At 49.1% G+C, this 27,131-nt stretch overlaps 1 protein-coding gene, 1 long non-coding RNA gene and 1 pseudogene across 5 annotated transcripts in view, besides 4 other annotated features; 1 reads left to right on the top strand and 2 right to left on the bottom strand.

Moving 5' to 3' along the window:
• The window catches only part of LOC400499 (putative uncharacterized protein), a 155,563-nt gene that overhangs the window by 47,457 nt on the left and 80,975 nt on the right, over positions 1–27,131 (top strand). For 3 of the 4 annotated variants that reach the window (NM_001395505.1, NM_001370704.1, XM_047434105.1), the window contains exons 17-28: positions 1,436–1,591; positions 2,116–2,300; positions 3,175–3,357; positions 4,406–4,497; positions 8,304–8,467; positions 10,454–10,613; positions 10,867–10,946; positions 17,818–18,004; positions 19,002–19,157; positions 19,511–19,644; positions 20,067–20,225; positions 23,082–23,262. In NM_001395505.1, coding sequence (NP_001382434.1) covers positions 1,436–1,591; positions 2,116–2,300; positions 3,175–3,357; positions 4,406–4,497; positions 8,304–8,467; positions 10,454–10,613; positions 10,867–10,946; positions 17,818–18,004; positions 19,002–19,157; positions 19,511–19,644; positions 20,067–20,225; positions 23,082–23,262 — 1,837 coding nt within the window. Of the gene's footprint in view, positions 1–1,435; positions 1,592–2,115; positions 2,301–3,174; positions 3,358–4,405; positions 4,498–8,303; positions 8,468–10,453; positions 10,614–10,866; positions 10,947–14,880; positions 15,569–17,817; positions 18,005–19,001; positions 19,158–19,510; positions 19,645–20,066; positions 20,226–23,081; positions 23,263–27,131 lie in introns of those variants that run through there. The other variant, XM_017023946.1, reaches the window with a different exon arrangement.
• LOC101927131 (uncharacterized) lies at positions 6,946–14,861 on the bottom strand. Its single transcript, NR_110907.1, has 3 exons — positions 14,589–14,861; positions 9,398–9,506; positions 6,946–8,843 (listed from the first exon to the last, which is right to left on the bottom strand). It is a non-coding gene; the product is annotated as an uncharacterized LOC101927131 (long non-coding RNA).
• Positions 9,329–9,830: an enhancer, noted in NCBI's record as "H3K4me1 hESC enhancer chr16:11564147-11564648 (GRCh37/hg19 assembly coordinates)". NCBI's record gives its function as "activates a minimal SCP1, AML or CMV promoter by ChIP-STARR-seq in naive H9 embryonic stem cells {active_cell/tissue: H9 hESC(naive)}" and the evidence as "EXISTENCE:reporter gene assay evidence [ECO:0000049][PMID:30033119]".
• On the bottom strand, positions 12,392–12,480 carry LOC124903807 (uncharacterized; annotated as a pseudogene).
• Positions 21,473–21,612: an enhancer, noted in NCBI's record as "active region_10445". NCBI's record gives its function as "activates an Ori minimal core promoter by ATAC-STARR-seq in GM12878 lymphoblastoid cells {active_cell/tissue: GM12878}" and the evidence as "EXISTENCE:reporter gene assay evidence [ECO:0000049][PMID:35858748]".
• Positions 22,605–23,122: an enhancer, noted in NCBI's record as "H3K4me1 hESC enhancer chr16:11550855-11551372 (GRCh37/hg19 assembly coordinates)". NCBI's record gives its function as "activates a minimal SCP1, AML or CMV promoter by ChIP-STARR-seq in primed H9 embryonic stem cells {active_cell/tissue: H9 hESC(primed)}" and the evidence as "EXISTENCE:reporter gene assay evidence [ECO:0000049][PMID:30033119]".
• Positions 23,123–23,642: an enhancer, noted in NCBI's record as "H3K4me1 hESC enhancer chr16:11550335-11550854 (GRCh37/hg19 assembly coordinates)". NCBI's record gives its function as "activates a minimal SCP1, AML or CMV promoter by ChIP-STARR-seq in primed H9 embryonic stem cells {active_cell/tissue: H9 hESC(primed)}" and the evidence as "EXISTENCE:reporter gene assay evidence [ECO:0000049][PMID:30033119]".

The raw sequence follows: 27,131 nt of genomic DNA, 5'->3' as shown, positions 1-27,131 counted from the left end.
ACTGTGGCGGACAGAGGAAGCCCATGGCCCAGCTAAAGTGGCAGCCACTGCTCAGCTCTGGTTCCTTGTTGCCCCTTGTTGTGGGGAGGGTGGGCAGCCCAATGTTTCTCTTTATAGAGCAGCCGGAGAGCTGGGTTTTATATCAAATCTCCCAATTTCCAAATTCAATTTATAAAAAACATACGTGGCATGAAAAACAATCAAAGACTAAAAAACTGCCATGAACCAGAGACCAGGGGGATACAGCAACGAGACGCAGTGGGGTTTGCTTGATTGGATCTCGGGACGGAAAGAGGACAGAAATGGAAAAACTGGTGAAATGTAAATGACCTCTGGAGTTTAGTTGATAGAAACATACCAGTGTTGGTTTGTTAGTTTGCACCATGCATCCTGGTGATGGAAGATGTTAACAATGGGGAAATCAGTTGAAGGATACGTGGGAACTCTCTGTACTGTCTTTGCAAATTTTCTTTTTTTCTTTTCTGCTTTTTTCAGAGACAGGGTCTTGCTCTGTCTGTTGTCCAGGCTGGAGTATAGTGGCATGATCATAGCTCGCTACAGCCTTGAACTCCTGGGCTCAAGCGATCCTCCCACCTCAGCTTCCCAAGTAGCTGGAACTACAGGCGGGTGCCACCATACCCGGCTTTTTTTTTTTTTAATTTTTTAATTTTGTAGAGATAGGGTCTCGATATGCTGTCCAGGTTGGTCTTAAACTCCTGGCCTCAAGCGATCCTCTTTTCTCGGCCTCCCTAGTGCTGGGACTAGAGGCATGAGCTACCTTTCCAAGCCAGTTTTCAACTTTTCCGTAAATCTAAAATTATCCTAAAATAAAACCTTCATGAAAACATACACACAGTCTCTCAGCATTGGGCACTACTGTGCAAGTCAGAGAAAACACATCTGGGGTTGGGATTTGGTTCATGCTCTAGGAGTTTTGCACGCCTCATCTGGATCCCACAAGTTCTTGACCTTTCTCTTCAGCCACCCCTTCCCCCTCCCAAAGTACAGGCACTTTGCCCTGTGTATTAGTTCGTTTTCTTGCTTCTGATGAAGATATACCAGGGACTGGGCAATTTACCAAAGAAAGAAATTTAATAGATTTACAGTTCCAACTGACTGGGGAGGCTTCAAAATCATGGTGGAAGGCAAGGAGAGGAAGTCACGTCTTACATGGATGACAGCAGACAAAGAAAGAGCTTGTGCAGAGAAACCCCCATTTTTAAAACCATAGAATCTCCTGAGCCCCATTCACTATCACGCGAACAGCACGGGAAGGACCCGCCCCCATGATTCAGTCATCTCCCATAGGGTCCTTCCCACAGCATGTGGGAATTATGGGAGCTATGAGATGAGATTTGGGTGGGGACACAGCCAAACCATATCACTCTGCTAACCCTGACTGTGTTCTTTGTGACCTGTCTGGGCTCTCCCCCAGGTGACCCGGAGGCGTGGGGCCCGGCAGGCTCTGCGATGCGAGCTGAGCGTGAAGTTGCTGGGGCAGGAGCTGAGCTTTGTGAACTGCGGGGCCACGGGGAGTCACGTGAACCACTGGCCCCTTAACTTGGCCGAGCTCGCCATCAAGCTCATGAAGGTAGCTCCTCCCTGCCCCTGCCCATGCCATCTGCCCTGTGACACTTGGCAAAGCACTTAAGGGCATGAAATTTGGAGTCAGGCTGCCCAAGGTCCAATCCCAGCTCTTCCGTTTACCTCCTCGAAGCTGTTGATTCACTTACCACGGCCTTAGTTTCTGCATCTGTGAAATGGGATATTAAATAAAAAATAACAAAATATCTGGTTCGGCGAAGTGGCTCACGCCTGTAATCCCAGCACTTTGGGAGGCTGGGGCGGGTGGATCACCTGAGATCAGGAGTTTGAGACCAGCCTGGCCAACATGGCGAAACCCTGTCTCTACTGAAAACACAAAAATTAGCCAGGCATGGTGGCAGGCGTCTGTAGTCCCAGCTTTGTATTTTTAGTACAGGGTTTCCCAATGTTGGCCAGGCTGGTCTCAAACTCTTGGGCTCAAATGATCCACCCGTCTCGGCCTCCCAAAGTGCTGGGATTACAGGCGTGAGCCACCGAGCCCGGCCCCCGCTTATCATTTCTTGGCTGCAGGGGCAGGAGGTGCAGATGAACCGGAGGCTGAGCCTGGCCGCACAGGAACTGGTCTTTCCCACCGTGTCTGGCCTTCCTGCCCGGCTGACCCTAAATGCCTCGGCTGCCATCAGCATCCGGGTCCGAGGAACCACTGACTTCCAGCAGCGCTCGGATTTCTCTGTGAATGGTTATGTCAAGCCCAGGTATCTAGCTCCTGGGAGCTGGCGCAGGTTAGGTGGTGGGATCCCATCCCTACAGAGGGCTGCAGAGGCCTGGGTGACATCCGTATGGGTAAGAGAGGATCCCTATTCTGCAGAACACCTGTGCCAAGAGACTGTGTGCAGAGATGCTGGGTGGTTAGATCCACTTTACAGGTGGGAAGAATGAGGCTCAGAGAGGTCCAGTCACATGTTCAAGGTCACACCGCAGTACGAGGTGGCTGGCCACAACCCTATGCCCTTCCATCCACCCCACCCAGAAGGGAGGAGAGGAGGTAGCCTTGAGCTCACTGAACTCGTGTGACGCCCTCCCGACCAACCAAGCCTGGTGCTTCTTATTCCCACTGACAGATGAGGAAACCAAGGTTCAAGGCGAGGACACTGACAGCCTGGGGCCACATGGCGCCAGAGCAGAAGGTGTGCAATATTTGGTCCGATTCTGGAACCTGTCATGGTGCTGCTGAGCATCTGTCCCCAGCCCCTCAGCTGAGCTGTCCTTGGGCCCTGAGTTTGACATGGGGAATGCAGATGCCCTAGGCTGGGTGCTCTCTGGCGTGAAGAGCCTGGGCTGGGACTTAGACACCCGGGATTCACATGTCCCAGCCACATGCTTTGTCCCAGTCATGGAACCCAGGCAGGTGCTTTCACCTCTCTGAGCCTCAGTTTCCCCATCCATAAAAGGGATTAGTGCAGGTGAGGACTGGAAAGTGCTTGGCGCATGTACAGCCTGTGGGTGGCAGTGGTGGCAGTGGTGGAGGGGCTGCTGTGGCTCAGGACTGCAGGGGGCTGCTGGGGGTCGCAGGTGGGATCTGTGGCCCCAGGGCCCTCGGGATGCAGCTGGTACATGCCTGTCCCTCAGTGCCCTGCTCCAGATCTCAGCTCAGATGGGCACAGCGGGCATCCTGGGGCAGGCCGGGCTGAGGTGGGTGACCAGCGTCCGCAGCGCCGCCAGCCTGGATGGCGGGATCCAGGTGCAGAAGGGCCGGGTCCTTAAGGTGCATCTGAACACGCCTGAGGAGGCCGTGGAGCTGCTCAGCTTCAGGTGGGTGCCCAGTGCCGGCAGGAAGGGAACCATGAGCACGAGGGTGCAGGTGAGCAGGTGTGTGGTGTGTGTGCTTGCATGCATGCATGTGAGTGTGTGATCACGTCTGCGTGTGCACAAGGGGATGTGCATGGGTGTGGATGTGACATTAGCATGCATGTGTGTTAGTGTGTGCACCCATGAGCCTGTGTCTGAGTACACATGATCAGACATATGAGAATGTATGAGCTGCTGTGTGCATGAGGGTGTGTCCGTGAGTGTGGCAGTGAGGAGTGAGTGTGTTGTGGGAGTGCGTGTGTGTCCACGAGCATGTGTGTCTGTTGACTGTGAAGGGTGGGCGTGTCTGACAGGGACCGTGGGCAGCTGAGAGGTGAGAGCTGGAGAACTTTCAGACCCCTCAGCTCTTTCCTGGAGTCCCTCTGGGGCATGCTTGTCTGTGACCCCTAAGGAGGTGACTCTTGGAGAGGGGCAATTTTAGAGGGAGTGAATCCAGGCTGCCCCACCTACCCATATTCTTTCCCTTGTCCTGCTCCATGGGGACTCTGCCCATCTCCCTCCTCCCTCCTCGCATCTGCCCCTGTTCCCTGCCCCTCACTCACCGTCCCCCTCTATCCTGACCCCCTCCCACCAGCCTTCTTTCCATGCTCCTAAAGCAGCCAACTTGTTCCTACCCCAGGGCCTTTGCACCTGCTGTGCCCTCTGTCTGGAACAATAGCTCCTTCTCATCCTTTGGATTTCTGCTCAAAAGTTACCTCTGCAGAGAACTCCCCCTACTCCAGCTAGGGGAGGCCCTGCTCTATCCCCGAGACAGCCCTGTGCCATGCTGTCCTCCATGTGGGTTTCTCACAGCACTTGTCACTCTCTGTGGTCCTCAGCATCTGTCCCTGTGCCCACGGAGTGTCACCACACCAGCGTGTGCACTGCCCAAAGGCTGGCCCCGCTCAGGGTAGAATTTGCCCCTGTGCCAAGCTCTGGCAGCTCAAGGTGTTACTTGTCTAATGAATGAATGAAAATGATGCGTCTGACACTGTCCTCTTTCCCCACCCAGCTCTCAGCTGTACCTCATCACCAGGGATGGCGTGAGGAGCCTCAGACATGTCCCTGGCCCTTCTGAGGTCCAGTCCTGTACTGGTGAGGAAGGTAGGCAGCAGGGCCTCCATGACATTGTACCAAGGTGGGCATCCCAGGGTTGAAGGGAAAAATGCCAGCTCCAGATCCCAGAGTTGCTCTCCTGCCCTAAAAGTATTCATATTCTGCAAACCAAAAAGTATCTGAGACAGGTTTCAATCAATTTAGACATCTACTTTGCCAAGGTTAAGGACATGCTTGGAAATAAAGGAACACAAATCCACAGAACAATCTGTGGTCTATGCCTTTTTTCAGAGATGATTCTGAAAGCTTCAATATTTATTTATTTGTTTATTTATTATTTTTATTTTACTTTAAGTTCTGGGATACATGTGCAGAACATGCAGGTTTGTTACATAGGTGTACATGTGCCATGGTGGTTTGCTGCACCCATCAACCTGTCATCTAGGTTACAAGCCCCGCATGCATTAGGTATTTGTCCTAATGCTCTCCCTCCCTTTGTTTAAAGGGGAAAAGCGGGCTGGAGGGGAAAGAGGGAGGGTATGGTCACATGACTGAATCCACAAGCTGCAAGGGAAAAGGAGCAGGGAAGGGAATAGTCACTTACATATTCATACTTGCTCAATAAATCAACACTTTACATAAGATAAGGTGAACATAGAATAGCTGCGCAAATATTTAACCTTTTATCTGTAGCTACCTGCTTAGGAACAAGAGAAGGCAGCTTCTTGCATGACTCAGCTTCCAGCTTAATTTTTTCCTTTTGGCATAGCGAATTGGGATCCCGATATTGTACTTTTATTATTATTGAGACAGGGTCTCTGTCGTCCAGACCGGAGTGCAATGGTGCAATCATGGCTCACTGCAGCCTCCATCTCCCCAGGCTCAAGTGGTCCTCCCATCTCAGCCTCCTGAGTAGCTGGGACTACAGGCACTCACCACCCTGCCCAGCTAATTTTTTTTTTTTTTTTGTATTTTGTAGAGACAGGGTTCCACCATGTTATCCAGGCTGGTCTCGAACTCCTGGGCTCAAGTGATCCACCTGCCTTGGCTTCTCAAAGTAATGGGATTACAGGCATGAGCCGCTGCACCCGGCTTTATTTTCCTTTACCAACCACTTCAGTCAATGATAATGCTTCTGTAATTCTACCCTATACAAGCAAACCAAAATCACTTAAAAATGCTCTGTGCACAAAGATGTTCGTTGCATCATTATTTAGAACAAAAAATAGGAAGCAACTCAAATATTCCAGAGTAGGCAAAATGGCTAATTATAAATGCCAGTGAGGTAAGGGTAGGTTGTTACATTAAGTGGCTAAAAAGAGTCAAAAGAAGAATATCTCATATCATGAAAACTTCATGAAATTGAAATTTCAGTGTCCAGAAATAAAGTTGTATGGGAACGCAGCACACCCCCTTCATTTGCATATCACCTGTAGCCACTTTGTCCCACAACAGCAGAGCTGAGTAGTTGCAAGCTAGACTGTGTGACCGCAAAGCATAAAATATTGACTATCTGGCCGGCGGATAGCTCACGCCTGTAATCCCCACACTTCGGGAGGCCGAGGTGAGAGGATTCCTTGAGTCCAGGAGTTCAAGACTAGCTTGGGTAACATAGTGAGACCTTGTCTCTACAAAAATAAAAATTAACAAATTAGCCGGGCATGGTGGCGTGCACCAGTGGTCCTAGCTACTTGGAAGGCTGACAGGAAGTCCGCTTGAGCCCAGGAGGTCGAGGCAACAGTGAGCTGTGTTCATGCCACTGCACTCAAGCCGGGGTGACCAAGGAGGATTCTGTCTCTAGCTAGCTATCTAGGTAACTAACTAAACAAACAAACAATCTGGCCCTTTACGAAGAATGTTTGCTGGCTCCTGGGTTGGTAAGTTATTGACATATCGCATAACTTTTTTTTTTTTTTGAGACAGAGTTTCACTCTCGTTGCCCAGGCTGGAGTGCAATGGTGCGGTCTCGGCTCACTGCAACCTCTGTCTCCTGGGTTCAAGCAATTCTTCTGCCTCAGCCTCCCAAGTAGCTGGGGCTACAGGCACCTGCCACCAAGCCCGGCTAATTTTTGTATTTTTAGTGGAGACAGGGTTTTACCACATTGGCCAGGCTGGTCTTGAACTCCTGACCTCGGGTGATCCGCCTGCTTTGGCTTCCCAAACTTTTCAACTCCATTATGAGTGAGCTGTTTTAATGAGAAACTTCGTTAATAATAATGCCAAGTGTAAGCCAGCAACACTGAATATGATCTCAACTGGGTAAAAAGACAGGAAATAAATGTGCCAAATAATAGGAGATCTTGAAATTTTTTTTTCTTTTTTTTTTTTTAGAGTAAGGTTGGGGAGGGCTCTATTTAATGAAGATATACAAATTTTGCTTCTTGATAATGTTTCTTTTTTGCATTTAAGTTGCATTTAGAATTGTAAATAAACTTGAAACTATAACATACAATACAGAAAAAAATTTTAGAAATCTTTCTGAGCTTTCTGATTTTCTTTCTAATTTCCTGCAACAAGTACATTTTTATTTTATTTATTTATTTATTTATTTATTTTGAGATAGCGTGTCCCTCTGTCACCCAGGCTAGAGTGCAGTGGCGCAATCTCGGCTCTCTGCAACCTCTGCTTCCCGGGTTTAAGCGATTCTCCTGAGTCGTTGAGATTACAGGTGCCTGCCACCACGCCTGGCTAATTTTTTTTAATTTTAGTAGAGACAGGCTTTTCCTATGTTGGCCAGGCTAGTCTTGTACTCTTGACCTCAGGTGATCCACCCGCCTTGGCCTCCCACAGTTCTGGGATTACAGGTGTGAGCGACCATATCCAGCTAACAAATATATTTTTATAATCGGGATAAGAGTTACTACCAAAGACATTACTGTAGGCCTGGTGCTGCTCTCAACACTTACTGACCTGTTAATCCTCACAGCTACGCCATGAGGCAGGAACTATTATCATTAGCAGTTTAAGATGAGAAAGACTGAGGCCTTTACAGTGAGTCTGGGGAGTAGTAACAATAATAATAATGAAAAAGAAACATTGAGACCCAGAGAGGTTAAGTAATTTGTCCAAGGTCACACAGCTGGGAAGTGGCCAAGCTAGAATTTGAACCAGGCATTCTTGCTGCAGAGCCTGTGTTCTACACAGTATTGCCTGACACTCTTTTTAAAAAGTCTACCAGGGGCTGGGCACGGTAGCTCACGCCTGTAATCACAGCGCTTTGGGAGGCTGAGGCAGGCAGATCACCTGAGGTCAGGAGTTCAAGATCAGCCTGGCCAATATGGTAAAACCCCATCTTTACTAAAAATACAAAAATTAGCCAGGCGTGGTGCCACGTGCCTGTAATCCCAGCTACCCGGGAGGCTGAGGCAGGAGAATCACTTGAACCTGGGAGGCAGAGGTTGCAGTGAGCCGAGATTGTGCCACTGTACTCCAGCCCGGGTGACAAAGTGAGACTCTGTCTGGAAAAAAAAAAAAAAAGAAAAAGTCTACCAGGGGTTCTCAGCTGGGGCAGTTTTGACCCCCCAGGAGACATTTGGTAATATGTGCAGAAATATTTGGTTGTTGGTAGGGGTTACTGGCATCTAGTGGATGGGGATCCAGGATTCAGCGAAACATCCCATAATGCACAGGACAGCCCCCAAATAAGATGATCTGATCCCAAATGTCAGCAGTGCTGAGGCAGAGAAACCCTGGTCTACACACCACTGCCTCACAGGAGTCCTGTCTACATGGTGCCTTTCCTCAGAAGAAATTAGAGAAGAGGTTTCTTTGCTGATGTGGCAGCTGCGGGCACCCATGCCCAGAGCCCTCTGAGTCTCCACTGACCAGTGCTGCCTGCTTACCTCTCTCTGCAGTGTCCTACACCTGGGGCTGGCGACTGTGCACTGGAGTGACCTGGCCGGTGCCTGGCCAGCCCTACCTGCTCTCATTGCCTGTGTTCGCGGCCGTGACGCTGCAGAAACGGGACCCGGGGCTCCGACAGTACCTGCTGGAAGCTGCCTATACCCTGCAGCCCCAGGTGGGCCCTAGACAACAGCCCCGTCTTTCTCAGCCATGTTGTGGATCTCCTTAGGTCAGCCCTGGGCTCACCCTAAAGGACGTGGGGCTCCTCTCTGGGGCTGTTGGGCTGTGCTGGTCTTGCTGTAGGTTTCTTCTGGACGTTTGCACATGCTGATTCTCCATCTGGGGCTGTATGATGCATTAACTCTGAATCAGTCTTTAGGTCTCAGTTCAGGGGTCACTTCCTCAGGGAAGCCTGCCTTGGTTACCCCAGAGCACATCATATTCTTTTGTGACTTGCCGTAAGACAACCACATTTCTTCCCTTTTAATCAGTTCTGTTTCTTAGTGAAGCTACTTGGATAAGGTCTGTCTTCCCCGCTGGTGACTCAGTTCCTGGGAGCAGATTCAGGGTTGGTTTTACTTACCCCTCTGTCATCAGCATCTGGTCCAGAGGAGGCACTCGGTGGCCTCCTGTCTGATCCCCCAGCTCCCGCTCTGGTCTCCTTCCCATCTTTACCAGCAGCCAGATGGGCCCTCTGAAATCCCAGCTGGATCGTGTCCCTTCTCTGTGTAGACTGCCCCCCTATGGCTTCTGTTACCCTTAAAGTAGGAGCCAGACGCCGTGACCCACAGGCCCTTGGCAGTCCTGCCCCTGCTGGCCTCCTTCCCTGACTCTCCTCCAGACTCACTGCCCTGAAGACACACTGGCCCCTTTTTCAAGGCCACACACATGCCTGCCCCAGGGCCTTTGCACTGGGCGTTTCCCCTGCCAGGAACACTCTTCCCCGGGACATCCACCTAACTCCCTCCCTAGCTCCTTTCAAGTGTCCTTCAGTGGGACCCCTCAGAGGCAGCCTTCCTGGGCCTCCCTGTCTAGACCAGCATCCCGGTCAGGGCCCCTACACCAATGACTTCGCCAGCACACTCACCGGCGGCTGCCGTCTTACCCGTTCTCGTGTCTGGTGTTCCTGTGCCTCCTCTCTAGGACGTAGGCTCCACGCGGTCGGGCACTGCGTGTCTCATGCTCAGTCATCTTCCACGCAGCAGCACACATCTCTGTTGGTGTTGAACAAATGTACGGTGACATGGGATTTCCGAACGGGACTTGTGGCTGAGGCTGCACTTCCCCAACAAGAGACCGAAGCCTTGGACTGGGGTACAAGTGATTTATTAAGAAAAGGCTCCGGGGGACCCAGAAAGAGTGGAGAAATTAGGAAAGGCCGAGGGAAGATGCTGAGAGATGTGCAATTTCAGGTGAAGTTGCAGCCTCAGCCTGGTCTCACAGGGAGCCCCAGAGCACGAGGTACTCGCAGAGTGTGTTCCCCTCTGGGCTAGGGTGCTGGGAGTTTTGGCTGCAGTGCTGGAGGGCAATGTTCTGAAGCCCTCAGGTGACAGCCAGGAAGTGCAGAGCTTGCAGAAGCTGGGGGACAAGGACACAAAGCTGGTTAAAAGGATGGGAGAGGCCAGGCGCAGTGGCTCACTGTAATCCCAGCAGTTTGGGAGGCCAAGGCAGGTGGATCACTTGAGGTCAGGAGTTCAAGACCAGCCTGGCCAACATGGTGAAACCCCATCTCTACCAAAAATAACAACAACAACAAAAAAAAACTGGGCTTGTTGGCGCATGCCTGTAATCCCAGCTGCTCAGGAGGCTGAGGCAGGAGAATCACTTGAACCTGGGAGGCAGAGGCTGCAGTGAGCCGAGATCATGCCGCTGACACTCCAGCCTGGGCAACAGAGCGGGACTCGGTCTCAAAACAAAAAAGGATGGGAGGGGTCTGTGCAGGGTGCCAGGAGTGTGCACCGCAGCCGCTTCTCCCTGGCCGTTTGCTGAATAAATTGCGACCCTGTGGACATGGTCCTGGGCTGTTCTGCAGAGCTTTACAATTCTGCAGGCAGTTTTCAAGCCTGAGAAATTCCTGGTTGGGGGATTGTGAGGACAACAATGTGAGTGTCTGAAGGGTACAGGTGGAGGCTCTCAATCTTGAAGACTCTGCTATTTCCAGAAGGGCAGCTGGTTCCCCCAAGAAGCCACAGCCCACGTCTTCATGGGCACGCCCGGGTCAGAAGTGCTGAGGGACGTCGGGGTGGACATGAGCTACAGCTTGCCCCAGAACAAGTTCCGGCTCAAGCTTCTCCATCCCAAGAAGAAAATCGAGCTGGACGGTAATGTCAACGTCCCTCCCTGCTCACTGCGCCCCTCACTCGGTGCCACACCCGGGGCAGGGCCCCTGCAGTGAGCTGGCTTATAGGTTTGTCTGTGACCTCCTGAGGTCAGCACTAAATCCAGCCCCATTTTACAGGTGCTACATCTTAGGCTCAGAGATTAAAGAAAGGGCAGGCAGTCCTCCCAGGGGGACGGAGGGGCCAGATCCAGATGTTGAACCCTTGTCTCTAAACTCTTGTTTTGCACCCCCAGGAAAGATGGAGGCTCTTGGGAGTGCCCACACGGGTCACTTGGAGCTGGTGCTGGATGACAGGGACGTCTACTACATCAAGGTTTGCTCCACACCCTAGGCCCACCTGTGTCTGCACCTGACACCTCCCCAGGGATTTCCTTCCCCCGTACCAGAGCCCTGTTAACTATTGCCACCACCTCTGGGATCTTCCCTTTCTACCTGCCAGTTAACAAGTGTTAGTTCTATTACCCAGAAATGTATAAACAAGAAAAAAATGGGCTCAAATCCCACCGTCATTGATGTTAAAAATGGATATTAATAACACAAAAACATGCTTTTAAGAATTCAGGTGGGATGCAGTGGCTCACACTTGTAATCCCAGCATTTTGGGAGGTCGAAGCGGGCAGATCACCTGAAATCAGGAGTTCGAGACCAGCCTGGCCAAATGGTGAAACCCTGCCTCTGATAAAAATACAAAAATTAGCTGGGTGTGGTGGCGGGTGCCTGTAATCCGAGCTACCTGGGAGACTGAGGCAGAAGAATCACTTGAACCCAGGAGGCGGAGGTTTCAGTGAGCTGAGATCATGCCACTGCATTCCAGCCTGGGCGACAGAGCGAGACTCTGTCTCAAAAAAAGAAAGAAAGAAAAAGCCAGGTATGACGGCTTGTACCTGTAATTACAGAAAGTTGGGAGGCCAAGTTGGGAGGATCACTTGAGGGTAGGAGTTCGAGATAAACCTGGGCAACATAGCAAGACCCGGTGTCTACAAAACATTAAAAAATGTTAACCAGGCACAGAGTTGTGTGCCTGTAGTCTCAGCTACTCAGGAGACTGAGGCAAGAGGATTGCTGGAGCCCAGAAGGTCAAGGCTGCACTGAGCCATGCTTCTGCCACTGCACTCCAGCCTGGGTGACAAAGTAAGACCCTGTCTCTCAAAAAAAGAATTCAGAATAGAGAAAGGTATAACTTGTAAGTTAAAGCATGCCATGTCCCAAATTTCCTGCAGAAGTACTGATGCACGCCCTGAGAAATCTGTGTTCATTTCCCAGAGCTGCCTTAACAAAGTACGCTAACTGTGTGTCTTCAACTATAGGAATTTGTTCTCACAGTTCTGGAGGCCAGGAGTCTGAAATCAAGGTGTTTTTTGTTGTTATTGTTGTTTTTTGTTTTTTGTTTTTTTTTTCCCCACCTGTGAAGGCTGTCAGGGAGGATCTGACCTAGGTCTCGCTCCTGGATTCTAGAAGCCCCCAGAGCTCCTTGGCTTGGAGGTGGTCTTCTGTCTCTGTCTTCCCATAGTCTTCCCTTTGTAGGTGTCTGTGTCCACACATCCCCTTTTTATAAGGACACCAGGCAAACGGGATTAGGGTTCACCCTCATCACCTCAGCTTAGCTTAATCATGTGTGAAGACCCTATTTCCGAATAAGGTCACATTCACAGGTCCTGCGGCTTAGGGTTTCGGCATCTTTCAGGGAGACACAGTACAACCCATAACCTTATAGATTTGCAAATATTTTTAGTTTGGGTTTCTGGGTTTTATTTTGTCTATCAGGTGAGTGATATGATGATGTAACAAGTTTTGAGGGAGGCAGGTATCATGCAATAGCATGAAAACCCAGTTGTCATGTTTAGGTTTTGTTTTTTTATTTTTATTTTCTTTTTTTGAGGCAGGGTCTTGCTCTGTCACTCAGGCTGGAGTGCAGAGGTGCAAACATGGCTCACTGCAGCCTTGACCTCCTGGTCTCCAGCGATCCTCCCACCTCAGCCTCCCGAGTAGCTGGGACTACAGGCATGTGCCACCATGCTTGGCTTCTTTTTTTTATATTTTTGTACAAATGGGGTCTCACTATGTTGCCCAGGCTGGTCTCAAACTCTTGGGCTTACACAGTCTGCCCACCTTGGCCTCCCAAAGTGCTAGGATTACAGGCGTGAGCCTCCACTCCCAGTTTCCCAGTTTTTTTGTTTTTTTTTTTAACTCTGTGAGGACTTTTTTTTTTTTTTTTACTCAAAAATATAGCTTGGCAGCTGGGCGCCGTGGCTCACGCCTGTAATCCCAACACTTGGGGAGGCCAAGGAGGATGGATCACTTGAGGCCAGGAGTTTGAGACCAGCCTGGCCAACATGGTGAAACCTCATCTCTATTAAAGATACAAAAATTAGCTGGGTGTAGTGGTGCGTGCCTGTAATCCCAGCCACTTGGGAGGCTGAGGCAGAAGAATCACTTGAACCCAGGAGGCAGAGGTTGCAGTGAGCCGATTTCATACTACTGCACTCCAGTTTGGGTAGCAGAGCAAGACTGCGTCTCAAAAATATATATATGTGTGTGTGTGCGTGCATACACACACACACACACAATACACATATACGTACGTACACCTTGGCAATCTTTTCAGACAAGCATGCGCTGATAAAATTTAAATTCTATTGTAGATTTCATTGAGATTAATTCAATCTAAATATTATTAAATTCTACAATTAAATAGGCAATACATTTAAATGATTCAAAGTTCAAAAGCTATGAAAGGGTATAGAACTGACTCTCCCATATGGTAGCCAGTGGCACACATGTTTATAGAAATCTCAGTGAGGCCAGGTGCGGTGGCTCACGCCTATAATCCCAGCACTTTGGGAGGCCGAGAAAGGTGGCTCACCTGAGGTCAGGAGTTCAAGACCAGCCTGAACAACATGGCAAAACCCCGTCTCTACCAAAAATACAAAAAGTAGCCGGGTATGGTGGCAGGCTCCTGTAATCCCAGCTACTTGGGAGGCTGAGGCAGGAGAATTGCTTGAACCTGGTGGGGTGGAGGTTGCAGTGAACCAAGATCACGCCACTTTACTGCAGCCTGGGCAACAGAGCGAGACTCCATCTCAAAAAAAAAAAATCTAAATGAATTAAAATTAAAGAAAATTAAAGATTTGGTTCTTTGGCTGCATGGGCCGCATTTCAGGTGTTCCACAGCTTCATGTGGCTCTGAAACATTGTCCTCATTGCAGAAAGTTCTATTGGTTGGCGCTGGTATAGACTCAAAACCTCTCTCCCACCCCTCCTGAAAGCCAACCACTGTTAGGGATTTTTTGGTGATTCCTTTCTGAGATGATCTATGCACACAGTCAGCACATGGAGTTAATATATCCACTTTAAAGAAAATAAGTGCCTCCTGTGTAGCGCAAATTGCTGTGTAATAGTCCGTGGAATGGAATTTATTCAGCTAGTTTAATAATGAAGGACTCTTGAGTTTTTTCCAGGTTTCTGCTCTTACAAATATTCTGCCATGAACACCATTCTCTCTGCAGAGTAAATTCTTAACAATGGAATTCCCAGGCCACAAGGTTTATATGTTTTTTCTCTTTTCTTTTTTCTTCCTTTCTTCCTTTTCTTTCCTTTCTCGCCCTGTCTTTCCCTCCCTCTATTCCCTCTCTTTTCCTCTTCCCACGTCTTTCCCCCACTTTCCCCCATGTCTTCTACCAGTCTCTTTCCCCCTCTCTCTTTTCCCTCTCTGCCCACCCCCCGCCTTCTCTTTCTTTTACAAGGTCTTATTCTGTGCAGTGATCGTAGATCACTGCAGCCTCAAACCCCTGGGCTCAAGCGATCCTCTTGCCTCAGCCTCCCAAGTAGCTGGGACTACGGCCTGTGCCACCATGCCCTTCTATTTTTCTTTTTTTCTTTTTTTTGTGAAGACGAGGTCTTACTATGTTGTCTAGGCTCGTTTTCATCTCAGTAGGTGCTTTTCTAGGGTTCTTACCCAAGGGTACCTGGACGGAACTTAGTCGTTTGAAGCCCCTGTCACTGTGTTGAAGTTCTGTGTCTGCCCTCCATCCTGCGAAGAAGGTTGAAAACTTCTATCCACTTTTCAGGAAGATGTGTGACTTCAAAAAGTATACAAATGTTGGGAGGCTGAGGCGGGAGGATCACTTGAGGTGAGGAATTTGGGACCAGCCTGGCCAAGATGGTGAAACCCTGTCTCTGTTAAAAATACAAAAATTAGCTGGGTGTGGTGGCGCATGCCTGTAGTCCCAGCTTCTTGGGAGGCTGAGGCAGGAGAATTGCTTGAATCTGGGAGGTGGAGGTTCCAGTGAGTCGAGATCATGCCACTGCATTCCAGCCAGGGTACAAATAGCAGCTTTAGACTTGATCCCACCAGGCATGATTGCTGGGCACCTTCGGCAGTGGATCTCCTGATTCTGCCTCAGTTTCCAGTGTCTTCTCAGAGAGGCCTGGAGTGGAGCATCTGAAGCCGGAGCTGGATGTCTTGCTGCAAAAATACATTCTCCTCTTCCAGCTCTGCCGTCAGCCTGGGTGGGGGAAGACCTATGTCAGGGGAGAGCTGTCTTCCTCCTAAAGCTCCACCTGCCTGATGGCTGAGACTTATGCCTCATTTTCAGAATTCCCAGGGGCCCTTGAACTTCTAGTTGTTTGCTAAATGTGCAAGCACGGATTGCCTCTACCTCCCCGTGGATCTTCCTGCTGGTCCCTATAGAGCTGCCTGCAGCCTGGAAATGTTTGCCTTTGGAGAAATTCTAGTTCCGTCTGCCCCAGACTCATCACAATTACAGTAACAGCCGGAACTCCGGAACTTTCTGGAGCCTGTTTCAGCAGACAGGAGGTCCCCCCTTCAAGTCCTCTGTAACCCAATACAAGATGAAGAAACTGAGGCAGATGAGCTCATGAATACGAAGTCCCAGAGCTTATGTTCAACTTGTCTCAAAGCTAATGGGATTTAAGGTTGGTTTAGGGAAGAATGTTCTGTTCAGTGCCCCCTCCTGCTAGTGTGCAGGGGTTGGGTCGTGGGTTGCCTGGAGAGCCCCAGTTTACGCCTGGTGACGTGACACATTTACAACTAGTGTTCTCTTTAACTGCAAAGTGTTCCGGTTTGGGTGAGAAATTCTGTGTTCACCCTGTTCATGTGCACCTTGAGGAAGCTCTGACGAGCACTGCACAGCCTCTGATACAGACTGGAGAAAGCCATCGCTCGAATGTGCCTGCCAGCAGGAAAAGCTGGGAGCAGAGTGGAGAGCGAGCATCTGTTTCTGTAAAAAGGGAAGGAGAAGGGTGTGTCTGTATATTCGTGTGTGCACACACATACATCCATACACATATGACATACACATGTCCATACACATACACATCATACACACGTCCATATTTACATACACGAACATCCACATGTAGATACAGCTGTACATACATTCGTATATACACACATATCTGTACACATGTCTGTACAGAGTCCATACACATCCATATTCACACACATCCAAATGCATATCTGTATGCACATTCATATACACACATCCACATATATACATATCTTTTCACATGTCCGTGGTGTACACACGTCCATATACATCCATATTCACACAGTCCACATGTGGACATATCTGTACACATTCATATGCACGCATCCGTATATATGCATCTCTTTACACACATACATGTCCATAAACACACGTCCATACACACATATTCATACACACAAACATCCATATGTAGACACATCTGTATATACGTTCATATATACACACATCCATATATATACATATCTGTACATATATCCACACACACATCCATATATACATATCTGTTCACATGTCCGTACACACACATCCATACACATCCATATTCACACAATCCACGTGTAGACATATCTGTATGCATACATTCATATACATGCATCCATATATATACACCTCTTTACACATCCGTATACATACGTTCACACACACGTCCATACATGTCTACATACAGACACATCCATGTATACACACATTCATACATCTGTATGCACCCACATGTCTGTGTACATACACGTCTGTATACACACACCCCTGTATACACACACATCCATGTACAGATACATCTGTACACACATCCACACACATTCATACACACACATCCGCACACACATCTGTGGGGATCGGGGACAGAGAGCATTAAGTAGTGGCAGTGTGGTAATAGTGAGTCTTGTTTTGGCGTCTTTTGGGTAAACTGACCAGCTGGTGGCCATCAGGGGGGCGTGGGGGTGGGGAGCCTACAGGTTGGCGGGGCCATCAAAGATGATATTTGTAGTTGCTCATGACTTTTCCAGAGAATCTTCTTTGCGGGGCCGTGGAGTGTGTAGTGAGCTGTCCCCGTGGCCCATCTGCCAGTGTCTTCCCATGGCCAGGTCTGCACCACTGACCAGCAGAGAAAGTTCTGGCCTCGCTGGCCTTCACAAGGACTTTGGGTTGTACTGTAAGAAAGGCTAGTGTGCCATCATTCGACGTGTCTGGTTGCCGTGTGGAGATTAGTTGCCACCAGCGGGATGGGAGCCGGGAGAGCCAGGAGGATGTTGCAGTGAGACAGGCCGATGACCGGGGCTCCAGCTGGTGAGGCAGCGGAGGTGGCAGAAGTGGTTGATTCTAGACGCGTTCCATAGGGACAGTTGACTCAAGTTCCTGATGGACTGAATGAGGGGGATGTCAAGGAGAGAAGAGGAGTCCCTTACATTTATGTCTGAGTTTGTAACACAGGTTTCTAATTTTGAGAAATCCAGAGTTTAAAAAATTGGGGAAGGGCTGGGCACAGTAGTTCATGCCTGTAATCCTAACACTTTGGAAGGCCAGGGCGGGTGGATCACTTGTGCTCAGGACCTTGAGACCAGCCTAGCCAACATAGTGAAACTCCATCTCTACTAAAAATAAAAAAATTAGCCGGGTGTGGTGGCACGTGACTGTAATCCCAGGGAGGCTGAGGCAGGAGAATCACTTGAACCCAGGAGGTGGAGGTTGCAGCGAGCCAGGATTCCACCACTGCACTCCAGCTTGGGAGACAAAGTGAGACTCTGTCTCAAGGAAAAAGAAAAATTGGGTAAGGATCGGTGTAGAAGGTTGTTAGCGATGTTGTCTCCTGCCCTGTCTGGTCCCAGTTCGTGTGGTAAGGGCTGGGCCTGCTGGCCAAGCCTGTCCTCCCAGGTGACACTGAGGCCGTTTCAGGGCTGGAGTGACCTGCAGCCAGCCATGGGTGGCGAGGCTGAGCGGTTCCAGGCGCAGCTGGAGGTGAAACTGGTGACGGGGGGCAGCCCCGTCGTCTTCACCGGGAACCTCACACGGCAGGTGGGCAGCAAGCTGGCCTTCTCCGCATCGCTGAGCCATCTGCTGAGTGACCAGGCCAACGTGACAGGTAGGAGATGAGACCCCTTCTGTCCCCTCTGCTCTGTGGCCAGGTTAGGGTGTGGTGGCCCAAGTGCCTCCTTATGGTCCTCATCACTGCAGCTTCTCTTAATATCAACATCCCATCCAAGGGCAGATCCAAGCTCCATGTGAGCCCCCAGAACCTCCCCCAACCTCCAACTGCACCCACAAACCTTAAAATAGCAACTTTTGGACTGTTTTTATTCTGACCCACGATAAGAAACACTTGTAACATTTTGACCTAAAATACACTGGGCATTTAAAACACACACAGAGTGAGCAGGTGCTGGCCCTGGTGCTGGAGCTGGGGTAGTGGCGCCTGGGTGTGCCGCTCATGGGTGTTCCGGAAGATTCCAAGGTAAGGACAGGAGCTGGGGCTGGGGGTACTTGGAGCAGTGGCTGTGGACCCCCCGATGTGGGTGTCTGGGAGTCATAACAGCTGGCCCAGTTTCACCTGTGCGTTCTGGCTGACCTTCTGTGTCTCAGAAGCTTCAGAAGGTGAAATTTACCCAACAACCCATGATGGGCTATTCTTTCTTTTCTCTTCTGTCCTGTTCGATTTTGTTTTATTCTACTTTATTTTTGGGCCAGGCACAGTGTCTCACGCCTGAAATCCCAGCACTTCGGGAAGCTAACGCAGGAGGATTACTTGAGCCCAGGAGTTTAAGACCAGCCTGGGCAACATAGTGAGATCCCTGCTTCTACAAAAAATACAAAAATTAGCCAAGTGTGGTGGCACACGTCTGTAGTTCCAGCTACTCGGGAGGCTAAGGTGGGAAGATCGATTGAGCCTGGGAGGTCAAGGCTACAGTGAGCTGTGATCAGGCCTGTCTGTGGCCTGTTGTGCAGGGTGCACATGTTGGCTCTTCAAGGAGCCCCCAACCCCAAGGCCCCTCGGTGATACCTGAGTCCCTTCTTTGCCTGGGGATGGGGGTGCTGGTCCCTGGGGGCTGACCCTCTCATCTGCCTGCTCTCTGTCCCTGCAGCACTGCTGGAGAGGAAGGAGGAGAATGGACGGAGGGTGGCCGCCCTGGGTGCCGAGCTGTTTGTGCCAGGGCTGGTGGGGCTTCGTGCCCTTGGCCTGCTGCAGCAACGGGGCCAGCTCTGGACCAACTCCCTGAGGATCCAGTACAGCCTCCTGGGTAAGGCACTGCGTGCCTGGTTGCGGGGCAGGTGGAGGTGGCAGGGCCTGCCCTGTTTCCTAGGGCTGTGGCTCCGTGAGCTGAGATACGCTGTCACCACGGGGTTTTCCATTAGTCATTCTGTTGGCTCTGAGTAGGACTGAATACCTGCCCATTAAAAAGTGTGTCTGTTGAGGAGACATTCACCCATCTCTTAACACCTCCCCATCGACAGGTTCTAATGGAGTGACAGGTGGAGCAAAGCATGGGGGGTGTGGCTGAGGCCAGGCTGGGCCGGGCCCTCCTTCTCTTGGAGCCCTGGTGGAGGGCTGCCTGGCAGAGGAGGGCAGGGGTCTCTGGGTTGATCCACACAGGTCAGGCAAAGCAGGCGGCACACGAGTGCAGCACCAGCCAGAAGCTGCGGGCAGACAGTGGCTCAGACGGTGCCTACAGGCTGGAGCTGCGCCACGAGCTCCACTGCACACAGATCCTAGCCTTCAGCCACAAGGTGGGTTCCCAGGCCAGGTGCGACATCCGGAGAGAGCACTAGAGTCAGGCAAGTGGTGATCTGAGTACCCTGAACTCATCCCCAAAGAGATGGACTTGCTCACAATCACATAGCCATATGGGAATGGATCCGGGGCTGGAACTTCAGTCTCAGTCTTATGTCTGTTCATCCAGGAACGCTTCAGCCCAGGAGGCGGAGGTTGCAGTGAGCAAAGATGGCGCCACTGTACTCCAGTCTGGGTGGGAGAGTGAGATCTTGTCTCTAAAATAAATAAGTAATAAATTAAAAAAAAATAGTGCTTTCTACAGAACCGTCTCTTCTGAAAACCAGGCTGATATCCCTGGAGTGGGTGGCTATGAGGAGGCCCAGGGACTGGGTGGGCAGGGCCTCCATGGGCAGTTCACCACCCATGTGTGTCCCAGGTCCAGCTCTGGCATGAGGAGGACTCGGGCCACCTGCACTCACAGCTGGAGGTGAGCTACGGGAAGCACTGGGACAAGAACAGCAACAAGAGGCATCTCCGTGTCAGCCAGACCTTCAAGAATGACTCGGGGCCCGCCCTGAGCAATCACTTCATGGAGGTGAGCCTGGCCACTGCGGCAGAGCCGTGCCCCATGAGTCCAGCATGGACGGTAGGAGCTGGGGAACCCCCACATGGCCCTCTGGCCCTGGCTACAAGGATGCAAGCAGCTGAAACTTAGCCTTGGTGACTTTCCCTTTTGCATCTCCAGCCCCATGACCCCATGTCCCCAGGGGTGAGAAACACTTGTCAGAGTGCCAAGGACTGGCAGGAGGGCTTGGGAAACATAGATTTCCACCTGTAAAAATGCATTTTTGAAAGAGCGGTTCGCTTTTAGTCTTTCCCAGAGGGTGGGTTCTTTTGCTGAGTTAGGACTGATGGTGTGCTCAGCAGCTGAACAGGTGGTGGTTCTTACACAGCACACATTTAACCTTGTATGTTTATTTAAAAATTTGTTTAGGGGCCGGGCGCAGTGGCTCATGCCTGTAATCCCAGCACTTTGGGAGGCCGAGGCGGGCGGATCACGAGATCAGGAGATCGAGACCATCCTGGCTAACACGGCGAAACACCGTCTCTACTAAAAATACAAAAAATTAGCTGGGCGCGGGGGCAGGTGCCTGTAGCCCCAGCTACTCGGGAGGCTGAGGCAGGAGAATGGCTTGAACCCCAGAGGCGGAGCTTGCAGTGAGCCGAGATCGCACCACTGCAGTCTGGCCTGGGCGAAACAGCGAGACTCCTTTTCAAAAAAAAAAAAAAAAAAAAAAAAAATTGGTTTAGGATATTTTTTCCCTTTTCACATCCAGTCCTGCAAATGATCTTTTAAATATTAACTTTTAATTTTAATTGTGGCTAAGTATACATCATGTAAAATTTACTGTTTTTTATTTATTTATTTATTTATTTTATTTTTTATTTTTTTGGAGATGGAGTCTCGCTCTGTCGCCCAGGCTGGAGTGCAATGGTATGATCTTGGCTCACTGCAACCTCCGCCTCCTGGGTTCATGCAATTCTCCAGCCTCAGCCTCCTGAGTAGTTGGGATTACAGGTGCCTGCCACCACGTCTGGCTAATTTTTTTGTATTTTTAGTAGAGACGGGATTTCTCCATGTTGGCCAGGCTGGTCTTGAACTCCTGACCTCAGGTGATCCGCTCACCTCAGCCTCCCAAAGTGCTGGGTTACAGGCATGAGCCACCACACCCGGCCATATTTACTATTTTAACCATTTTGGAGTTTGGTGGCATTACATGCATTTACATTCTTGTGCAACCATCACCACTACTTATCTCCAGAACTTGCAAAACTGCAAGTCTATAACCAGGAAATGCTGACTCCCCATTCTCTCCTTCTCCCAGTCCCTGGAAAGCACCATTCTACTTTCTGTTTCGGATTTTTGACTACTCTAGCTAACACAGAGCCGTGGAATCATACCGTTTGTCTTTTTTTTTTTTTTTGAGACAGAGTTTCGCTTTTGTTGCCCACACTGGAGTACAATGGTGCAATCTTGGCTCACTGCAACCTCCGCCTCCCAGGTTCAAGCGATTCTCCTGCCTCAGCCTCCCAAGTAGCTGGGATTACAGTCACCTGCCACCACACACGGCTAATTTTTTTTTTGAGATGGAGTCTCAGCCTGTTGCCCAGGCTGGAGTGCAGTGGCACGACCTTGGCTTACTACAACTTCTGCCTCTGGGTTCAAGCAATTCTCCCTGCCTCAGCCTCCTGAGTACCTGGGATTACAGGCGCCCACGACCACGCCCGGCTAATTTTTGTATTTTTTAGTAGAGATGGGGCTTTGCCATGTTGGCCAGGCTGGTCTTAAACTCCTGACCTCGGGTGATCCGCCTGCCTTGGCCTCCCAAAGTGTTGGGATTACTGGCGTGAGCCACCACGCCCAGCCCTGGCTAATTTTTTGTATTTTTCGTAGAGACAGGGGTTTTACCATGTTGGCCAGGCTGGTCTCGAACTCCTGAACCCAGGTGATCCACCTGCCTCGGCCTCCCATAGTGCTGGGATTACAGGTGTGAGCCACCGTGCCTGTCCTGTCCTTTTTTTGACTGGCTTATTTTACTTAGCATGTCCTCAAGGTTCATCCATATCGTAGCATGTGTCAAATTTCCTTCCTTTTTAAGGCCGAATACTCCATTGTCTGTATAGACAGCATTTTGTTTATCCGTTCATCTGTTGATGGACATGTGGGTTGCTTCCATTTTTTGGCTATTGTGAATAAATGCTGTTATGAACGTGAGTGTGCAAATATCTGATGCTTTCGATTCTTTCTATTGCTTTCAATTCTTTTGTATGTATACCTGGAAGTGTTATTTCTGGGGCGTATGGTAATTCGATCTTTAATTTTTTTTTTTTTTTTTTTGAGATGGAGTCTGGCCCTGTGCCCAGGCTGGAGTGCAGTGGTGCGATCTCGGCTCACTGCAAGCTCTGCCTCCTGAATTCACACCATTCTCCTGCCTCAGCCTCCCAGGTAGCTGGGACTACAGGCGCCCACCACCATGCCCGGCTAATTTTTTGTATTTTTAGTAAAGACGGGGTTTCACCGTGTTAGCTGGGATGGTCTTGATCTCCTGACCTCGTGATCCACCCGCCTCGGCCTCCCAAAGTGCTGGGATTACAGGCGTGAGCCACCGTGCCCGGCCCGATCTTTAATTTTTTGAAAAACTGCCACACTGTTTTCCACAGTAGCTGCACTATTTCACATTCCCACCATCAGCGTATGAGAATTCAGATTTCTCCACATCCTTACCAACGCTCCTTGTTTTTTGTTTTTTTGGACTGCGTTCCACTCCCGTTGCCCGTGTGGAGTGCAGTAGTGCAATCTTGGCTCGCTGCTGCCTCAACTTCCCGGGCACATTCTACGCCAGGGGTGGCATGATCCCATTGGCATCTTGGGGGGGTGGGCATTCTCCAGTTTGTGCTGCAGGTGCCTGAGAGGCAGGTGGATTGCCGCGTGCAGCTTTACCACTTGAGCCTCCGCCTGCCCTATGTGGAGAGCAGCAGTCACCTGAAGGTGCAGTACAATGGGCGGCCGCTGTTTGTGGCAGGCGGGCAGTGGAAGGACACATCTCGGGCCACCCTGTGGAAGTGGGAAGGTGAGTGTTGGCTGTGGGGCCTCCTTGGCTAGCAGCTCAGGTTTCTGATCTCCAGGCCTTTGCTCAAGCTATGCCTCCTTCCTGGAACACCTTTTCCTTTTGTTGGCTAGGCTAACTCAAGACTCAAACTGGGCCAGGCACAGTGGCTCACGCCTGTAATCCCAGCACTGTGGGAGGCCAAGGCGGGAGGACTTCTCGAGGCCAGGAGTCTGAGATCAGCCTGGGCACCATAGTAGGAACCTGTCTTAATTTTAAAAACAAACAAACGAAAACCTTATCTTTAATGAGTGCCGTGATGCTTATAATTACATCGTAACTTCTTACCTTTGCCAGTCAAGTGTCAGGCCCTTCCTCCTTCTCCAGCCTTGTCCCACCCCACTCTCCCCCTTGCTCGTTATCCTGCAGGCTCAGAGGCCTCTTTTTGTTCCCCAGACACACTCCAGGGCCTTTGCATTTGCAGATCTTTGTGTCTCGAAAACACTGTCTGTCACTTTTAAAAAATGAATCCACCGGCTGGGAATGGTGGCTCACGCCTGTAATCCTAGTACTTTAGGAGGCTGGGTGTGGGGGCGGATTACTTGAGGTCAGGAGTTCAAGATCAGCCTGGCCAACATGGTGAAACCCCATCTCTGCTAAAAATACAAAAATTAGCCATGTGTGGTGGCAGGCACCTGTAATGCCAGCTACTCGGGAGGCTGAGGCAGGAGGATCGCTTGAACCCAGGAGGCGGAGGTTTCGGTGAGCAGAGATCACACCACTGCACTCCAGCCTGGGCAACAAGAGTGAAACTCCACCTCAGGAAAAAAAAAAAAAAATTTTATCCACGAATTTTTTTTTCCATTTTTTCAGTTTTTATTTTTATCGAAGCGATACCTTGTTTAAAAGTGAATTCGGCTGTGAGTTGCTCATTGTCGAAGCTGGGTCCCATGGGGGCTCATTGTATTATGCTCTCTGCTCTTGTGTAGACCTGAACTACGTTTTCTAAAAGTTGATTAAAGTTTATAAAGTTTAATCTAAAAGATTAAAGTTTATAAAAGTTGATTAAAGTTTATACATCCTCTTTGTCACATCTGCCTATGTTGTTTGTTTGTTTCTCTTTTTCTTTTTTTTTTTTTTTCTTTTTTGAGACGGAGTCTTACTCTGTCACCCAGGCTGGAGTGCAGTGGCACGATCTCGGCTCACTGCAACCTCTGCATCCAAGACTCAAGCTCTTCTCGTGCCTCAGCCTCCCAAGTAGCTGGAATTACAGGTGTGTGCCACCACACCTGGCAAATTTTTCTATTTTTAGTAGAGACGGGGTTTCACTCTGTTGGCCAGGCTGGTCTTGAACTCCTGAGCTCAAGTGATCCACCTTCTTTGGCCTCCCAAAGTGCTGGTATTACAGGTGTGAGCCACTGTGCCTGGCCCCTACCCCAAGTCTTGCTTAAAACAGTAAGCACGCTAAATTCTTTTAGCCATTTTTTCTGTTTATATTCTCCATATTTAAAAATAATATAATCATGCTGTTATTTCTTGATTTTTCAGCTTTAGGCCTTCTCCATAGGTTTCTTACTAGAGAAGATAAGAATTTAACTCTTAGATTGGTGCCCCTTTCAAATACATATTCTCTTCCATTTTCTTAAAAGAGTTACCTTTTGTTAACATCTGATGCTTACCCAATTATAACTATAAATGTCTTACATAGCTGAGATATATGGTGTCCTATCATGGTGACCTATTGTTTTTTTCTGGAGTTTTGTAATTGCCTTTATTTTTCTATTTGATTAGTTTTCTATAATTTTTGTCTACTAATTACAGAATTTTCAGCAGCATTGCAAAACTTTTTTCCAGGTGGTCAGACACATCAGATTGTTCATTGACTTCAATTAGTTTTGTTATTTTTCTTGGGGACCCTCTTCCTGGAGCCTGAGTCCTGCTCCAAAGACGACCAGTTGCACAGCTGTGGTTCTGCAGCCTCCCTTTTCCATCAACCTGGGAATTCCTTTTACTTCTCCTCTGGGTCACAATCCCTTTTTCTTAAACCTGTGTCATATCTCTTGGTTTATTCCTTTGTTCTGATGGAGTACATCTTTCAGTAGCTTCCAAAGAAAGCATACATTGGAGGTGTATTCATTTCCAAGGGTTCTGTAACTAATTACTGAATTGGGCAGCTTAAAGCAACAGAAATTTGTTCTTTCACAGTTCTGAAGGCTGTAAGTTTGAGTCAAGGAGCCACCAGGGCCATGTTCTCTCTAAGGCTCTGGGGACAACCCTCCCTTGCCTTTTCCAAGCATTTGGTGATGGATGTTGAAGCTTGGTGTTCCTTGGCTTACAGCCGCATCCTCTCTAATCTCTGCCTCTTTTGTCATGTGGCATTCTCCCTGTGTGTGTGTGTCTGTGTCCAGATTTTTCTTTTCTAATAGAGACATCAGTTCTATTGGGTTAAGGGCATGTCCTATTCTCGTATGACCTCATCTTGACTTAATGATATCTGCAATGACCCCATTTTCAGTTAAGGTCGCATTGGGAGGGATTGGGGATTAAGACTTCAATTAATCTTTTGGGGGAACACAAGTTAACCCATCACAGAATACAAACATTTTGAGACCCTAAATGTTGAAAATGTCTTCATTCTACTGGGACAGTTTGAGTGGAGAATTTTAGGTTGGAAATAATTTTCTCTTGGGATTTTGAAGGCATTGCTCCATTGTTTTGAATTAATTGGGAGATCTGATGCTTCTTCTGATTTATCATCTTTTGTATGTGACCCTTTTCTCACTGTCTTAGAAGCTTTTAGGAGCTCGTCTTAGTCCTGTTGGTGGTAAATCTCATTATGAGGTACCTTGGTATGGATCTATGTTCTTCCATTGTACTGGGTCCTTAGCATAGGGTGTTTCAATTTGGAAACATGTCATTTTGGTCTGTGTAATTTTCTCTTACAGTTTCTTTGATAATTTCCTTTCTTTGTTCTGAAATTCCTATTGGTTAGATGTTGGTCCTCAGAAAACTGAGCTTCTAATGTTTTCTCTGTTTCTCTTTTCAAACTCGTTTTTCTTTTTTTCTTTTTCTTTTTTTTGGAGAATGGGGTCTCAGTATGTTGCCCAGGCAGGTCTCAAACTCCTGGGCTCAAGTGATCGTCCTGCCTCTGCTTGCCAAAGTGCTGGGATTAGAGGTGTGGGCCACCGCACCTGGCCTCCTTGTTTCTCTTTTGTTCTATTTCTTTGTCCTTTGGTTCTGTTCAAGAGCCGATTTCCTCGACTTCATATGCTAGCCCTTCTACTAGCATTTTTATTTTGGATTATCTTATATTTTCAAGAGCTCTTTTTTGTTGTTGTTGTTCCTTTCTTACAGCGTCCTGTTCCATGAATGCAATTGTCTTCTCTTAGAGTATAAGTTACAGAATTTCAGGGAGTTTTATCTGTTGCCTCGGAGTTTCCTTTTTCTTTTTATTTCTGTATTTCCTGTTGGAGGCTTTCCCCCAAATGCTAAGCCAGCCTTGGATATGTGCTTATGCTTGAGTCGGCTGCTCAAAATATTGGTTACCCTGTTTTCAAACAGGGTAATTATGTTTTCAGTGTACTCAGAAGCTGCCTGAGGACTTAATTAAAACCAGCAGTTTAGCAAAGTTAGGGATCTGATATTCTGGAGCACAGATTTAAAAAAATCTATTCTCCTTAAAATCCTTTTATGAAACTTCGAGTAAGAGACCCGCTGAAACAGAGAGGAGAGAACACATTTCCACACTTGGCCACCTCTTGACTCTCCTGGATCCCATTAGGGGAGAGTGAGTGCTAGTTCTCTGCCAACCCAGGATTAGGCCCTAAGGCTGCCGTAAAAAGGATCCCAGGAGAAAACTCAGGAATAAAAGTGGAGAAAGTGAGACATCTGAC

Source organism: Homo sapiens, chromosome 16 (assembly GCF_000001405.40).
Source record: "Homo sapiens chromosome 16, GRCh38.p14 Primary Assembly".
In the NCBI taxonomy this organism is placed as follows: domain Eukaryota; kingdom Metazoa; phylum Chordata; class Mammalia; order Primates; family Hominidae; genus Homo; species Homo sapiens.
This window is presented reverse-complemented; position numbering and strand designations above follow the sequence as displayed.